Genomic DNA, 18,276 nt, shown 5'->3' with positions numbered 1-18,276 from the left:
TATACCTTGTAAGCCAAGTTGTTTACCTTTCCTGATCTCATTGTGTTTTCCTCTTTGTGTTTTCCTTTGTGCTTAGAACATATGAAGAAAGCTTCTTTCCATCTCAACCATGCTTTAGGAAAACTAAGGGAAAGGAATTTGCTTCTACTTAGTAAGTCAGACATTTGCAAGAAAGCAGGTTGTTCCTGACATGCCCCAGAGGAGTGGGGAGTTAGAAAGTAAGAATTCCAAAGAAAATAAAACTCAGACAAGGGCCATGTGGCCAGCTGCCCCATTTCACCAAGAAGCTCTCCTCTCAGTACTGACCTGGGAGATTCTTGGTTTTATTTCATTAAATAAAAATACCACTACTGGGAGGTACTGTACTGCCTCCCAGGTATCTCTAGGCTTAAAATGACAGAAGAAGCCATGTGGGTGGATGAACTAACTTGAGGAAGAGAGTGTTTCCATGAGTAGAAATAGAGAGCTGAGACTGGCTGGAGCCCTGGGAACAGCAATACTCATGCAATCAACATTGGAAGAGGAGCCAGGGAAGGGACTAGGAGAGGAAGCCAAAAAGTGGGAGGAGAGCCTGGGCAGGGGAAGTCTAGGGAGCAAAGAGAAAAACGTTTTAAAATGGAGTTTTTTGTAACACAGACAAACAAGAGGAATAGAACTTACTGACGTTAAAAAAAAACAAAAAGTGAGAAGGTGACCAACCCCGCAGAGGCCCAGAAAGACGATTAGAGCCTACGTAGGTCCAATAGCTGTGGTCCTAGCCAGTGGTCCTGTTCAGCCTCTCTGGACCCAAGATACTGGGACCACTGCCATGAGCCGTCACTGGCACAAACCATCATTATAAGAAGGCAAAGTCATTCCCCAGTTCTTTTTTTCATCCTCAGACAAGGGACATCTCTGGAATTGCTGAATGTGTGGTTTTAGCAGAAAGATGGGTTCTGTCTTCAGCCCCCTTTTCCCCTTCCCAGTTGATGTTCCCTTTTGTCTCTGCCCACTTTGTCTTTGTGTGAACACTGAGATTTCATTGAACATCCCCAAAAGAGGGATTGCGCAGTGGCTCAGCTCACCGCGCTGAAATGTCCCTGAGGAAATGCACAATCATCTTCAGTGAGTACAGGACAATGAGGAGGTGTCTTATTACATAATTGAGGAGACAATGTCCTTTGTACTCAGTCTGGTTCACTTTTCACACTAAATTAATCTTAATAAGCATCTGCTTTGAGTAAAGGAAGTTTTGTGATAATTCAACCATGACCTCTGTAGAAGTCCAAATGATTTCACTTCAGTCCCTCAGCCCCGAGTATCCTATTGAAATGGTCATCTTTATTTCATGATCATCAGCTTGTTAACATGAGCTGATTAATCCCATCAACCTAACTACACAGATCGGACGCAGCCCAGGGCTATGACATCATTAGCTTTGGGACTCGAGCGTGTAGGATCACAGGCTAGGCAGGTCAGCTGGTCCCACAGGTCATTCGATCCAACCTCCTCGTTTCTGAGAATTAAAAGCAGATTCTCCCTCTGGCTTGTTTTCTGGCTCCAAGATCCAGGCAAAATTGTCCCAATAACAGCATCTCTGGGACCACACGGTACAGGGTCCCACTGAGCCAGAATTCCAAGCAGAGCACTGGTGGCCAGGCCATGGAGCACCCAGCCAGGACTCGGGACCCACCACCCCGTGGGTCTCAGTGACCACCAAGATCCCGGTCAGCCTCTCTCTACCCTCCTCTATCATTCTGAGCACCTTCCTCTTAGACCTTCCTTGGTGCATCACACATTTTTCCAGAGCAGAAGCCCCTAACAAGCTGGACCTGGGAGTCCCTGCCACATGCAACCCTTCCCTCTCTCCTGGCTTCTGCTTCCCATGGATCTTTTAGGAAATTGCTCTCCCCATAAATATGTGGGCTCTGTGGGAAACCAAGTCAAGGAATTCTACCTTCTCTTAGCCCAGGGGGTCTCAAAATGTGATTCTAGGAACAGCAGCATCAGTATCACCTTGAAATCCATAAGAAATGCAAATTCTCAGGTCCTTCCCTAAACCCACTGAATTAGAAAATCTGGGAGTGGGGCCCAGCAATCCGCATTTCAACAAGCCCTCCCAGTGGTTCTGACATAGGCCGTTGCCAGCGGTAGGTATGTAAATTAAAGGACTTGGGTGGCCACTGCAGTCAGCAGAATGGTGGCTCCCAAACATGTCCCTGTCCCAGTCCCAGGAACCTGCAAATACATGAAATTCCGTGGCAAGGGGGATTTTGCAGATGTGATTATACTAAGGATCTTGAGCTGAGGGATTGTTCTGGCTTAACTACAAAGACCAAATGTAATCACAAGTCTCTTAACAGGAAGATGTAAGGATGGAGGCAGAAGTCAGATAGGAGAGAAGCTGCTACACTGCTCACTTTGGAAATGGAGAAATGAGCCAAGAGCCAAGGCAGAGACTAGAAGCTGGAAAAGGCAAGGAATAGATTCTCCCCTCGAGCCTCCAGAAGGAACACGGGCCTGCTGACACTTTGATTTTGGTCCAAGGAAACTCATTTCAGACTTCTGACCTCCAGAACCGTAAGAGAGAAAGTATTTGTGTTGTTTGAAGTCCCTGATGTGTGGTCATTTTGTTACAGCAGCAATGGGAAACTTACACAGCCTCTTTCTCCCTCTCCTGGACTTCAGTCGTGAACAAAGAGGTGTGACACAGAATGGAAAGCTGGAGCTGACTGACACCAGCATGGGCTTTGAGTTGCTCAACTTCCCCATATCCTCCCAGGCATGCAGGTCCTGTCCTTCTGAAGCCTGGTTTGTCAGCCTTTCCCTGAATCTAAGAGCTAGGACAGTCTCCCTAGAGCTTGCCTTTTTGCTTCTGTTAGCCGGAGTTGGTGTTTGTTGCTTATAGCCAAAGGGACTTGCCTCCACCCTTCACAGTGCAGATTTGAAGGATGATAGGACTAGCGGTGGCAGCTAATACTGAATTCAGTGCTTACTATGTGCCAGGTGCCACCTTTTTGATTTAATAAAGCTCCAGGGCTTTATTTATTTAATCCCCATAGCAACGCCCTAAAGTGGATACTATCATGATCCTGTAGAAGAAGAAAAATAATTTATTCTTCAATCCTCATAAGTTCTTAGTTGGAGCAGACCCCTGTAACAAAAGACAGACTAACAAGAAGAGAAAAACAAACCGAAGTTTATTATCAAGTATATTTCACATATATATGGCAGACAACCAGGGAACGAGTAGTTCTCAAGGTGGCTTTGGATTCCTGCTTATAGCTTATATAGCATCTTCAACAACAACAGCAGCAACAAAAAAAACAAAAACAAAAACAAAAAAACCCAGCACATTTTTAGACAGTGACAAGACAAAGGGAAAAAGGACTTTGAGTCTCTAGGGGTAGCCACTTGTGGGAAGGCAATAACAGGCAGATCAAGGTGGATTAACGAAGCTGGACCTGGTGCCATCTCCAGACAATAGGGCTCTAACATTGTCTTCCATGGTTACCCTTTGTTCTCCCTGCAGAGTGGAGGTGGAATACCTCTTGTCTTTGTAAATCTATGTCCTGCTTTTAGGCAAATAGAGGGAGGGCAGAGAGCCTTCCTGCATCCACTTCTTAGTTGTCTTTGGCTCAACAGTCCTTCATGTTTTGGGGTGGCATATTCTGGTCTCCAACAGTCTCCTTTACAGACACGGACACCAAAGTACAGAGATGTTAAAGGTCTTGCCGAAGATCATGCAGTTATCCTTGCTCAAAAAACTGCAAAGATCACCACAGAGGCAGAAGAGTTGGTGGTGTCTTCCAGCTTCATCCTTCAAAGCTGAGTGCCTTCATGTACCTACTTTCCCTCCTATAAGATGGGATGGTAATACCCACATGACAGGGTGGGTGTGAGGATGAAATGCTGCAATGTGTATGAAACAGTTGGCAGGGATGGGACTCCTAACACATGCTACTCCCTCCATATGAGCAAACCAAAGCTGATGAGAAAATCACAGTTCCAGATGACAGTCACATGCCAAGCACCAGCTAGCCCATCAATGGCGAAGTCAGAAACGCCATTCCCAGCCCCAGCCCTGAAAGACAGGATGCCTGCCTGTCAACTTCAACCATCCATGAAAGATCTACTCTTTTCCACGGAAAGCTGTCCGCCTCTGTGGCTGCATTGTTTTAAACTCTATTCTGGAAACAGAATGGAAAAACTTTTTTCTCAACATCTTAAGAATATTTCACTTTCATTTTTATTCCAAATTATAACTCAGATATGAAGACACGAGCTAACTTGGCATTTCTTTCATTTGGGATTTGAGGCTGGAAAACTCACATGTTAGTTTGCAGACACTAGTTAGTTTAGCTTAGTGTTGCAGAAACCTCATCCAATTCTTTCAAATTTTCTGCATGTGTGTGCTTGTGTGCATGCACGCACACACACACACACAATCGCAGCATCACAAAATGAAGTCGGGTGGGAGGATAGGAAAGTCAGGAGGCCAAATGAATCAGCCCTCCCCAGTGTGACCCTGTCTCACGGCCTCAGGTCCATGACCTCCCCAGCCCTCCAGGCTGCTGGGAGCCCACTGCACACACATGGCTTCGATTTCTCTTCGTTGGCCTGGCACACAGATTTAAATACAAATATCCTGTAAGAGGAAATGAGTCGGTGCTGACTCCCAGACTCACAGATTTGCTCCCTCTTCTCTGATTTTAGCAATGAGGGCAGGAGGCCCACCTGGGGGTGGTGGAGAGAGCCCTGGGTTTGGAGGCAGGAGACCTGGGTTCTAGCCCTCCCTCTGCAACCAAGTCACTGTGTAATCGCAGGTGAATCATTTGCTGACTCTGGGCCCCAGTCATTACATTTAGGGAAGGGAAAATGTATATATTGCACTGAGAGGAGATTGCAGTTAGAACCCCTGGGATCCATAAGATATTTATTGAGCACCTACTATGTAGGCACAGAAGCTGTGGACTTGAGAAAACACATCCTTCCGCTGAGGGCCTCCTTCTTGGGGGTCAAGGAGGCACTAGGGGCTGTCCGTCTTCAGCCTCAGTGCTGTCACTAACCATAATCTTGGTTAGTCCTTCTGTTATGGGTTAAATTGTCTACCACAAATTTCATGTGTTGAAGCCCCAGCCTTCAGAACCTCAATAGGTGACTTTGTTTGGAGATAGGGCCTTTAAGAAGGTGATTAAGGTTAAATGAGGTTATAAGGGTGGGGCCCTAATCCAATAGGGACTGGTGTCCTTATAAGAAGAGGAAGAAAGCCGGGCATGGAGGCTCACGCCTGTAATCCCAGCACTTTGGGAGGCCAAGGCTGGCAGATCACCTGAGGTCAGGAGTTCGAGCCTGGCCAACATGACGAAATCCCGTCTCCACTAAAAATACAAAAATTAGCTGGGTATGGTGGTGGGAGCCTGTAATCCCAGCTACTTGGGAGGCTGAGGCAGAAGAATTGCTTGAACCTTGTAGGCGGAGGTTGCAGTGAGCTGAGATCATGCCATTGCACTCCAGCCTGGGCAACAAGAGTGAAACACTGTCTCAAAAAAAAAAAAAAAAAAAGAAGAAGAGGAAGAGGCTGGGCACAGTGGCTCATGCCTGTAATCCCTTCACTTTGGGAGGCCGAGGTGGGTGGATCACCTGAGGTCAGGAGTTCAAGACCAGCCTGGCCAACAGGGTGAAACCCTGTCTCTACTAATAATACAAAAATTAGCCAGGCATAGTGGCGGGTGCCTGTAATCCCAGTTACTTGGGAGGCTGAGGCAGGAGAATCGCTTGAACCCAGGAGGCAGAGGTTGCAGTGAGCCAAGATTGCACCATTGCACTCCAGCCTGGGCGACAAGAGCAAAACTCCATCGCCAAGAAAAAAAAAAAAAGAAGAAGAAGAGGAAGAGACACCAAAGAACTCCCTCTCTCCATGTGCACATGGGAAAGGCTGTGTGTTGTCACAGCAAGGCAGGTGAATACACCTTCTCTCATGCTGCCTCAGTTCCTCAGATTAGATCGCTGGATCTTAGCATTGTCTCAAGGATCCTTTGAGAATCTGATAAAAACACATGTGCAGGTAGGCCCAATCTCTGCTTGAAATTTCAGAGGCACACACTAAAGAACATCATGAGAGGGTCCTTGAACCCCCTGTGGTCTCTGTAGTGCCTACTAGTCTTAATGTTTCCCCACCCTGGTCCTACGCATGATGCATGCAACGAACGACTCTACACCAATTATTCTCTAATGTGAGCTTCCTTTCAGGGCAATGAGAACAACTGCATGTCTAGAAAAAAATCAAAGAATGCTAGGGTGTTCTTCCTCTCCTGTCCAGACAAACCATTAACCTTTTTTCATCAGGGAAGAGAACCCACACTGAATAAAAAACTTCTTACATGCCAAGTACTATGCAAAACTTAATTCAAACTTTTGCATCTGCCTGAAGATAGGTTGCTGTTATCAGACCTAACTTGTCACCAAGAACCACTGTAAAAGCTGAAAATTTTTTAAAAGGTCTGTTTGAAGGCATCAAAAAATATCCCAGGCAGGCCAGACTTGAGGGATCAAGACCCCAGAGAAAAACATTAAAGTGAGTGCTGCATCCCCTGTGGGTTTCATCCCTTGCAGTATATTTCACAATGTGGGGTCACAGAGACCTAACTGAAAGCAGTGAGCTAGAGCATGAGGCAGCATCTTACTGGGATAAGAAGAATCATCTTAGTCCATTCTGGCTGTTATAAAAAAGGCTGGCTTATAAACAACAGACATTTCTTTTTTATAGTTCTGGAGGCTAAAAGTCTGAGATCAGGGTGCCAGCATGGTCAGGTTATGGTAAGGGCCTTCTTTTGGGTTGCATAGTAACTTCTACTAGTAGCCTCACATAGTGGAAAGAAAGCTAGCTGGATCACAGTCCTTTTTTTTTTTTTTTTTTTTTTTTTTTTTTTTAATTTTACTTTAAGTTCTGGGATACAAGTGCAGAATGTGTAGTTTTGTTACATAGGTATATGTGTGCCATGGTGTTTTGTTGCATCTATCGACTCATCATCTAGGTTTTAAGCCCCACATACATTAGCTATTTGTCCTAATGCCCCCCACTCCCCAACTGGCCCTGGTGTGTGTTGTTCCCCTCCCTGTGTCCATGTGTTCTTATTGTTCAACTCCTACTTATAAGTGAGAACATGCGGTGTTTGGTTTTCTGTTCCTGTGTTAGTTTGCTGAGGATGATGGCTTCCAGCTCCATCCATGTCCCTGCAAAGGACATGATCTCATTCCTTTTTATGGCTGCATAGTATTCCATGGTGTATATGTACCACATTTTCTTTATCCAGTCTATCAATTGATGGGCATTTGGGTTGGTTCTATGTCTGCTATTGTAAATAGTGCTGCAATAAACATACATGTGCATGTGTCTTTATAGTAGAATGATTTATATTCCTTTTGGCATATATACCCAGTAATGGGATTGCTAGGTCAAATGGTATTTCTGGTTCTATATCCTGAGGAATTGCCACACTGTCTTCCACAATGGTTGAACTAATTTACATTCCCACCAACAGCCTCACCAGCATCTATTGTTTCCTGACTTTTTAATAATTGCCATTCCAACTGGCATGAGATGGTATCTCACTGTCGTTTTAGTTTGCAGTTCTCTAACTATCAGTGATGTTGAACTTCTTTTCATGTGTTTGCTGGCTCATAAATGTCTTCTTTTGAGAAGTGTCTGTTCATATCCTTTGCCCACTTTTTGATGGGGTTGTTTGTTTTTTCTTGTAAATTTGTTTAAGTTTCTTGTAAATTCTGGATATTAGACATTTGTCAGATGGGTAGATTGCAAACATTTTCTCCCATTCTGTAGGTTGCCTGTTCACTCTGATGCTAGTTTCTTTTGTTGTGCAAAAGCTCTTTAGATTAATTAGATCCCATTTATCAATTCTGGCTTTTGTTGCAATTGCTTTTGGCGTTTTCCTCACGAAGTCTTTGCCCATCCCTATGATTGCCTAGGTTTTCTTCTAGGGTTTTTATGGTTTTGGGTTTTACATTTAAATCGTTAATCCATCTTGAGTTAATTTTTGTAGAAGGTTTAAGGAAGGGGTCCAGTTTCAATTTTCTGCATATGGCTAGCCAGTTTTCCCAGTACCATGTATTAAATAGGAGGTCCTTTCTCCATTGCTTGTTTTTGTCAGACTTGTCAAAGAACAGATGGTTGTAGATGTGTGATGTTCCTTTTGAGGCCTCTGTTCTGTTCCATTGGCCTATATGTCTGTTTTGGTACCAATACCATGCTGCTTTGGATACTGTAGCTTTGTAGTATAGTTTGAAGTCAGATAGCATGAGGCCTCCAGCTTTGTTCTTTTTGCTTAAGATTGTCTTGGCTATACAGGATCTATTTTGGTTCCATATGAAATGGCCTCTTCTTATAAAAGCATCAATCTCATTTATCAGGGCTCTACCCTCATGACCTAATCACTTCCCAAAGGCCTGATTTCCAAATACTATCATATTGGGATTAAGATTTCAATATAGAAATTTTGGAGGTAACACGAACATTAGTCCACTGCATTCTGTTCCAAACCCCGCAAAGATCATATCCTTCTCACATGTAAAATATATTCATTCCATCCCCAAAGCCCTCAAAGTTTTAACTCATTCTAGCATCATCAACTCCAAACTCTTATCTAAGTATCATCTAAATCAGATAAGGTGAGACTCAGAGTACAATTCATTCTGAGGCAAAATTCACAGCTGCAAACATGTGAAACCAAACATGTTTTCAAAATACAGTGGTGAGACAGACATAGATAGACATTCCCATTCTGACACGGAGAAATAGAAAAGAAAGAAGGGTTAACAGATCCCAAGGGAGTCCCAAACCTCACAAGACAACTTTCACCAGGTCTTCAGGCTGAAGATAATCCTCTGTGGCTTGATGCTCTCCCCTCTAGGGCCACTGGACACACTGGGGCAGAGGTACAGTCTTGCAGACCCACTTGGGAGGTGGTCTTCTCCAAAAAGCTCTGCTGGACAGGACTTGCAGCTCCAGGGCTCTGCCAGGAGGTGGTATCCCCAACAGCTTTGGGTGGAGCTCATTTCTGTTGAAAGCAAGGCAATGGTCCCTCCTTTTGAAACTAAGAAGGTAACCTACTGACCTCTGCATTGCCCTTGGGTTCATTCTTCCCCTTGTCTTTAACAAGAGCACACATTCACAACTGAATAGCTCTATAGTCCTGTCCTGTAAAATCCAAAAAGTCCAACAACTTTCCTTCATTCTTTACCATCCCCTTCCTATTTAGTTCAAACTGACAGTTGTCCTGCTGGGAAACCGCTGGTTGATTAAGTCCATGGTTCACACCTATACTGACCTCCATATCAAATGGTCAGTTAGCCACACCCTTAGTGTTATTTTCCAAACACACTTTCTCCATTTTTGCAATATGAGTAGGCTGAGAATTTTCCACATCTTTAAGTTCTAGTTCCTTTTGCTCGATAATTCCATCTTCAAGCCATTTCCATCTTCTTATGTTTTGCCTTAAGTGGTCAGAAGGAAGCCAGTGACTTCTTCAACACTTGGCTTAGAAATCTCCTCTGCTAAATATCCACTTTCACTGCTCACGAGTTTTATCTTCCACAAAAATACTAGAATGCAAAGACAATTCAGCCAAGGTTTTTTGCCACTTTATAACAAGGATTGCCTTTTTTCCATTGTCTAACAATTTGTTCCTCATTCCTGTCAGACACCTCATCAGAATGGCCTTTATTAGCCATATTTCCACCAACATTCTGTACACGATTATTTATGTATTCTCTAAGAAGACAGAAGCTTTCTCAATACCTCTCATCTTTCCTTTCTGAATCATCTTTAAAAGTACTTTTGGCCAGGCACAGTGGCCAAAAGTGCTGTAATTCCAGCACTTTGAGAGGCCAAGGCAGGAGAATAGTTGAGCTCAGGAGTTGAAGACCAGCCTGGGCAACATAGCAAGACCATCTATCTACTAAAAATCAAAAAAATTAGTCAGGTGTGATGGCACACATCAGTAGCCCTAGCCACTGGGGAGGCGGAGGCAGTAGGATTACTTGAGCCCAGGAAGTCAAGGCTGCAGTGAGCCATGATTGCACCACTGCTCTCCAGCCTGAGTGACAAAGCAAGATCCTGTTTTTATGTTTTTTGTTTTTTGTTTTTAGTGACAATTTTGACCTTTCCTAGTATGCACTTCAAAAGTCTTAACAATTTTGACCTCTCCTAGTGGGCACTTCAAAACTCTTCCAGCTTCTACCCATTACCCAAAACTGCTTCCACATTTTTAGGTATTTGTTATAGGAGGCACCCCCACTTTTTGGTACCAGTTTTGGTCTTCATCAGTTTAAGCTGCTATAACAAAATATCACAGACTGGCTGGCTTATAGATAACAGAAATTCATTTCTCACAAGTCTGGAAGATGGAAAGCTGAGATCAGGTTGCCAGCATGGTGTGGTTCTGATGAGGACCCTCTTTTGTGCTGCAGACTGGAAAAATTAGAGTTTGGAGTAAAAAGTGGCCATGACATAAGGGACTAGATACCAGATGACGGGGAACCACAGAGAAGTGAGTCCTACAGTCTGTATATGATTTCTCCCCAAGAGAAATCCTGTGTAATCACAGAAAGAGGCCCAGAGAACCCCACTATAAAGCAACTTCTAAAGCTAAAAGATGAGCAGAGAACATGGCAGTCTCATGGGGTTGGGGAAATAAAAACTGGAGTTCACAGCAAGTTAAGGATTAGGGCTCCCAACAAACACCTCAAGCTTTCCACCGAAACCCTAAAAAGGGTTAGAATAAGAGGAAATGTGAAACAGGCCAGCTGTGACTAGATAAAGATGATTTGGCCATACTCTATGTGCCAATAAGAAGAAAATTAAACCCTTTCTGAAAGAATATAACACCAACCATAAGCTCTATAACTTTTCATATGCAATTTTCAGCCTGCAATAAAAAATTACCAGGCAGGACAGGCAACATGATTAAATGCTGAAAATCAAGAGAAAAATGGAGAGTAAAAACAGACAGCAGAAGAACCAGGTATTGAACTTTCCAGACATAAACTTTAAAATAGCCATGATTACAATGCCAAAAGACAGGCAGAGTGGTGGAGAAAATCCCCAGAAACTGGCATCTATTTAAAAATAGCCAATTGGAAATCCTAAAATTGAAAAATATACAATAGAAAGTAAAATTTTAATTGTTAGCTCAGTATACCTATCAGAAGAGAGAACAAGTGAACCAGAAAATAGAAATATAAAAATATTCAAACTAAAGCAGAGAGAAAAAGGATAAAAATACAGAAAATTAGACATATATATGGGACCAAGTAGAAGATATTTAACAACATGTAATTGGAGGCACAAGAATACAGGAGAGAAAAAATGGAGCAGTTGGTGGCGAATTGCACGTGTCAACTTGACTAGATTGTGGTGATTCATTGTTTGGTGCTGGGTTCTGAATGTCTGTGTCCTCCCACAAAATTCATGTGTTGAAACCGAAGCCCCAAGGTGATAGTATTAGGAAGTGAAGGCTTTGGGAGGTGATTAGATCACAAAGGTAAAGCCCAGATGTGGAGTAAAAGGGGAAGAAAGGTGGGTAGGATCTGAAAACTGTTAGCATGAAACATAAAAATATATAGTCTGGGCTGGGCGCAGTGGCTCATGCCTATAATCCCAGCACTTTGGGAGGCCAAGGCAAGTGGATAACCTGAGGTCAGGAATTCGAAACCAGCCTGGCCAACATAGTAAAACTCCGTCTGGGTAGCTGATGGGATGGTGCCCACCCAGAGTGAGGGTGGGTCTGCCTCTCCCAGCCCGCTGACTCGAATGTCAATCTCCTCTGGCAACGCCCTCACAGACACGCCCACAAACAATACTTTACCAGCTATCTAGGCATCCCTCAATCCAATCAAGTTGACACCTAATATTAACCATCACACCAATTAAAAATAAAATAAAGGTAAAATGAAGATACTTCAGGCAAGAAAAAACTTTGAAAATGCATTGCCAGTAGACCAACACTAAAAGAAGTATTAAAGGAAATGATTCAAGATAGAAACACGAAAAGGTAGAAATAAATGAGGAGTGCTGGGAATGGTAAATATATTGGTATATGGGTAAATATAAGTAAATTCTGACAACTTAAACCAAAAGTAACAATGTTCTCAGGAAATTAAAATATATGTAGAATTAAATACATGATAACGTAGCACAAAAAGCAGAAGGAGAGAAATGGACTAATGGTGTTGTACTAACAACACTTGCCATGGTAACATCCAAAACTAAACAGAATGTAACAAGCCAACAATGAGTATTCTACTCTCTAGGGCAGGGGTTCCCAACCTCTGGGCCATGGACAGGTAGCAGTCTGTGGCCTGTTAGGAACCAGGCCGCACAGCAGGAGGTGAGTGAGGGGTGAGCGAGCATTGCCGCCTGAGCTCCGCCTCCTGTCAGATCAGCAGCTGCATTAGATTCTCATAGGAGCGCCAACCCTATCGTGAGCTGCACATTCCAGGGATCTAGGTTGCAGGCTCTTTATGAGAATCTAACAATGCCTGATGACCTGAGCTGGAACAGTTTCATCCCAAAACCATTCCCCTGCCCCCGATCCATGAAAAAAATTGTCTTCCATTAAACTGGTCCCTGGTGCGGAAAAGATTGGGGACCGCTGCTCTACGGGAACAGGTACAGGAATAATACAGAATGCATAACGAATAAGTTAGCAGGGTGGGGAAAATGGAATAATTTTCAAAATTTTTTTAGCAATCCAAAAATTATCAGATATCTAAAATAGTAAAACCCAATTACATTGTGATTATATGAAACATTTACCTTAAAGATAAGGAGTCTGAAAAACTGAAATTAAAAGGACAGGAAAAGCTGATACATAACTACATTAACATATACTTAATAACAACACTACATAATTATAACACATACATATGTAGTTATATAACATATAAAGACAATACATTCTGTAAGGCAAGATTTGTTACTAGAGATATTTTATAATATCAAAAAGTCATTTAATAAGATAATAATTTAAAATTTGCATGCAGCAAAAAACATAGCCTCAAAGAAAGTGGGACAAAAGGAGAAACAGTCAAATCCATTATCCTAGTGGAGATTTTAAAATACATCTCTCAGTTATTGAAAGAAAAAGCAGAGAGAAATTCAGTAAAGATATAAAAGATTTTAACATGATTAATGAACTGGAGCCAATAAAAATAAATAGAGCTGGCCGAGCACGGTGGCTCACACCTATAATCCCAGCTCTTTGGGAGGCTGAGGCAGGTGGATCACCTGAGGTCAGGAGTTTGAGACGAGCCTGGCCAACATGGTGAAACACTGTCTCTACTAATAATATAAAAATTAGCCAGGTATGGCGGCACGTGCCTGTAATCCCAGCTACTGGGGAGGCTAAGGCAGGAGAATCACTTGAACCCAGGAGACAGAGGTTGCAGTGAGCCGAGATCATGTCGTTGCACTCTAGTCTGGGCAACAGAATGAGACCCTGTCTCAAAAAAAAAAAAAAAAAAAAAAAGGCAATGCAACCAACAGCTGCAGTTTACATATTCCCTTTTTTTTTTTTTTTTTGAGACAGGGTCTCACTCTGTTGCCCAGGCTAGAGTGCAGTGGCACAACCGTGGCTCACAGCAGCCTCAATCTCTGAGGCTCAAGCTATCCCCGCAACCTCAGGACCATAGATGTGCATCACCATGCCCAGCTATTTTTTTTTAAATTTTTTGTAGAAATGGAGTCTCACTATGTTGCTCAAACTGGTCTCAAACTCCTGGGCTCAAGTGATCCTCCTGCCTGGGCCTCTCAAAGTGCTGGGATTACAGGCGAGAGCCACCATGCCCAGCCAATCTCAATGAGTTTGAAAGGTTTATCATCATACAGTTATACTCTCTGATCATAGTGAAATTAAGCTAGAAATCAATAATAACATAACTAGGAAAACTCTAAATATTTATATTTATGTGTGTATAGCAGCATAAATCATGATAGCCAAAACCGGAAGCAAACCACATGCCATTCAACTGGAGAAGAAATAAACAAGCTGTGGCATATCCATACAATGGAATACAGGGCAGCAAGAAGAAAGAGCACATGACTACTATACACGGCTACAGGGAGGAGTCTTGCACGCACATTGTTGAATGAAGGAAGCCAGATATAAAAGACAGCTTACTCTATGGTTTCATTTATATAAAATCCAAAAATGAGCAAAACTAATATACAGCAACTGCAGTACAAATAGCGGTTCCCTTTCTTAGGGGATAATGACAGGAGGCACATAGGAGGGGGACTTCAGGGCATCTATCAGGCTTCATATCTTGATCTGAGTGGTGGTTCCAAGGGGATATTCATCATTTTGTAAAAGTTCTTAGTGCTGGGCACTTGAGTTATGCAAATTGCTGGATACAAGTTCTACTTTCAGAAGAAGTTTGCCCCTCGCCAAAACAAGAAACTTCATTCATAGGCTGGTTAAATAGCCAGATCTGGAGTCAGGCAGCCTGAGCTCAAATCCTGGCTCAACTGTTTACACTCTGTGTGTCCTTAGACTATGTAGCTTCTCTACGCCTCAGTTTCCTCATCTGCAAAATGGGGATATCACCAGTACTTAAGCCTAAGGTTGTTTTGTGGACTTATGAGTTGATCCATGCAAAGTACTTACCATAGTATCAAATATATAGTAAGATCTCAACTTACATTGCTCTTTTTAAAAAAGATCTTTGCAACCAACCTAGAGGGCCACACAACGTTGGGAGTAAAAGCAAGGACTTTATACCCTTGGACATTTTTCCCAGAAAAGTAAAAACTTTTGTTTGCACAAACACCTGTACGTGAATGTTCACAGCAGCATTTCTCATAATGGCCAGAAACTGGACACAGATATTCTTCAGTGGGTAAATGGTTAAAGAAACTGTGGTACTTCTATGCCATGGAACACCACTCAGTTAAAATTAAAAAAAAAAACAAAACACTACTGATGCATGCCATAACTCAGTGACTCTCAAGAGAATTAGACTGAGTCAAAAAGCCAATCCCAGAAGCATATACTTCCACTTACAGAACATTCTCGAAATAATGAAATTATAGAGATAGAGAACAGGTTTAGTGTTACAAGAATGAGGGATGCTGGGTGACATGGAGAAGTAGATGTGATTATTAAAGGCTGCAGAAGCCTGTGCTGACAGAGCTGTTGTGTATCTTGACTGTGGCGCTACATACATGGACCTACATACATGTTAAAATTGCAAAGAACTAAATACACTCACATGAGGACAAGTAAAACTGAGGAAATCTGAATAAGGCTGGTGGATTTTATCAGTGTCAATATCTTTGTTATGATATTGTAGTACAGTTTTGCAAGATGCTCCCTTTGGAGAAAACTGGATAAGAGTTACACAAATCTCTCTGTATTACTTCTTACAACTGTGCGTTCATCTACAATGATCTTTGATGTCAGTCAGCCAAGGTCAGGTAATGTCCTGACTCCATCATTTACTAACTAGGTGACCTTGGGCAGGCAAACATCCTAAAGGCTCAGTTTTCTCACCAATGAAGTGGAGATAGTTAAGAGTTCCCACTCCCTAGGGTGAAGTGAGAATGAAGTCACTCAGCATAGTGCCCAGACAACATAAATCCTTCACAAATGTCACCTTAAGGAAAATTGCATAGTTACAAGTGAGAAGAGTGGAAGTGACTGGGTCACCCCAAAACGAGCCAGAATCCTGGTCTCTGAAGCTGGGTTCCAGGCGGTGAGACAGGAAAGGATCAAAGTGAGAAATCTGTGGGTGGATACACTGATTTTCTCCTCCTGACGTTTTTGTGTGTGTGTGTGTGTGTGTGTGTGTGTGTGTGTGTTGGGGGAGGGAAGAATTAGGAGCGGGGTGGGGGTGCATTAGGAGACAAAGGAAGAAGGGGTCAGAAAGCAGGCACCAAAAAAAAAAAAATGCTAAGAAAATCAAAGGGCTGCATGGAAACAATCCTTTCAGGGACTATTGTGCTCTTGCCCAGCTCCTCCACCGGGACTGAATGGATTCCTCAGCCGTGTCCTCCTCTCCCACCAGGGTGCCTGTAGGGGTCAACTGGGTTCAAGGATGTGACAGCTGCTCAGGACAGGGGAAAGCACTGCACAAATGTTTGCTGATGGTGACGATGACGATGTTGATTTTTGTATCTGTGGTTGGAAGGATCCCTCTGGAATCATTTCACATTCTGTGCTCTCCTGGCTGACCCAAATCTGGGCAACTGGGTTTTTGTTGTTGTTGTTGTTTGTTTGTTTTTTGTTTTTGTCACTCTCTTTGTGCCCACTGCCAGGGCTCAAGGTCTGTCCCTTCAGAGCAAGAGGTGACCTTAGAAGTCCTGCTTGCTCCTCAGTGAATCCACAGATGGGCAAAAGTAACTGCATCCTCTGGGAGCTTGTTAGAAGTGCAGGATGTCTGCCCCCAGCAGGTCTCCTCATCAGGCTCCACATTTTAACAGGATCCTCGGATGATTTGAGAAGCTCTGATCTAGTCCAGACTTCTGGTTCCCTGAGGAGGAAACAAAGGCTCCAAGAGGGTAAGGGACCTGCTCCAAGTCACAAAGAATGCTTGTGCCAGGGCTGGAACTGGCACCCTGGCTCCTGGGCCCCCAGACAGCTGTCTTTAGTCAGAAGCCTTTGGGTAAAATAGGTTGTGGAGGACTGGATGTGAGATTCCTTTGTAAGGAGGAAAGCTGTCTTCTGCCCTGAAAGCTGTTCTAGTGGGAACACAGTGTCCCTCACTGACCTCATGCAGCTGTGGTTTGGGTACAGGTAAGAAGAAAGTCCATGCAATTTGCAGATATATAAAATCTCTCCTCTTCCAGAGAAGGCTGTGCAGAAACATCATAGCAGTTAGATTGCTTTTGCATTGACTCAGACCTCTCTGTGCCTCAGTTTCCTCATCTGGAAAAGATGTTCCCTCCTGCAATGAGCACCTGCCACATGCCAAGCCCAATGCCTGGTGGTCACACAAGTCACAATGGCATGAGACACACAGAAAGACCATGGCAGTGTCTGCTAAGGATTCAAGGAAAAGTGAGGAGAGTGCACCCAGAAAAAAAAATCACAGAGAATCACAGGCTATCACTGGAGAAAATATCTATTTGACCCCATTTGCGAAAGTAGGCCATTAGAACTTTACCTTTCCCTAATGCTCAGTTGCATGAAACCAAACTGCTTCTTCCATGAACCCATATGAGAGAATGATGGCACTGAAAGGAGCTTCAGATAGGAAATTTTCTGATCCACCTTCATTTTCCAGAAGGGGAAACTGAGGAACAGAGAGGTGCAGAAACTTCCCTGGGGACACACAACATGAGTAGTAGCACCATGTTATGGACAGAATGTTTGTGTTCCCTCCATATTCATATGTTGAAGCCTTAACTCCCAAGGTTGGTATTTGGAGGTGGGGCCTTTGGAGATAGTTTAGTTGAGATGAGGTCATGAGGGTGGGATCTTCATGACTGGATTAGTGCCTTTATAGGAAGAGACCAGAGAGCTTGTTCCCTCTCTCTCTCCACTATGTGAGAACACAGCAAGAAGGCAGCCATCCGCAAGCCAGGACAGGAGCCCTTACCAGACAAGAATCAGCTGGCCCCTACTTCTTGGACTTTCAGCCTCCAGACCTATGAGAAGTCAATGTTATCTGAGCCACCCTATGGCTATGGTATTTTGTTATAGCAGCCAGAGCTGACTGAAACACACCAGAACTACCCATCCTTTTTCTGGTACACTTAATATCTCATGTTCTTCTACCCCAACCTCTCATGAGAAACTCACAATTCAATTCAGCACTGACAAGTACCCTCCTTCTATTAGAGTTAGGCTGGTGATTGAGACATGGTTACAATCACACTGGACTCCAGGGAATCTACAGCTTAGCAGGGCCTGACCTGAGAAGGTCCTGCTCACATGAAAGCCAGGACACTAGAAAGATGGGAGGTGCCCCACCCCTAGCATGGGGAGGAGGTGGGGGACTGAAGTGGGCAGGACCATCCTAGGGGTTGGGTACCCTAAGAAAGTTGCCTGGGACCCCCATGCTGCTGGAAGGGATTTCCAACAAAAATGCTGGAGACCTGGAAAAGTAATTTTTGGCTCCACCAGGAGGAAAGCAAACTACAAAGTCAAAACTAATAAATGTCTAATTAAATGTCTACAGAAGGTAGCACCGTGTCAACATCATTAAAATGCTAAATTAATTATTCCTAAAAATTTCATTACATGTGAAAAGGATTTAATTTTCTCACTTTGCAAGAAT

General features: G+C 43.4%; 1 protein-coding gene and 1 long non-coding RNA gene across 9 annotated transcripts in view, besides 1 other annotated feature; both read right to left on the bottom strand.

Annotated features, from left to right (window-relative positions):
* Nucleotides 1-18,276, bottom strand: part of LOC124900165 (uncharacterized) — a 230,445-nt gene that overhangs the window by 177,333 nt on the left and 34,836 nt on the right. The window lies entirely within an intron of this gene.
* The window catches only part of STX18-AS1 (STX18 antisense RNA 1 (head to head)), a 168,808-nt gene that overhangs the window by 115,696 nt on the left and 34,836 nt on the right, over nt 1-18,276 (bottom strand). The window lies entirely within an intron of this gene.
* Nucleotides 12,396-12,896: an enhancer, noted in NCBI's record as "H3K4me1 hESC enhancer chr4:4584074-4584574 (GRCh37/hg19 assembly coordinates)". NCBI's record gives its function as "activates a minimal SCP1, AML or CMV promoter by ChIP-STARR-seq in naive H9 embryonic stem cells {active_cell/tissue: H9 hESC(naive)}" and the evidence as "EXISTENCE:reporter gene assay evidence [ECO:0000049][PMID:30033119]".

Source organism: Homo sapiens, chromosome 4 (assembly GCF_000001405.40).
Source record: "Homo sapiens chromosome 4, GRCh38.p14 Primary Assembly".
Classification (NCBI taxonomy): domain Eukaryota; kingdom Metazoa; phylum Chordata; class Mammalia; order Primates; family Hominidae; genus Homo; species Homo sapiens.
Note: the sequence above shows the minus strand (reverse complement) of the source record. Positions and strands in the feature narration are given on the sequence as shown.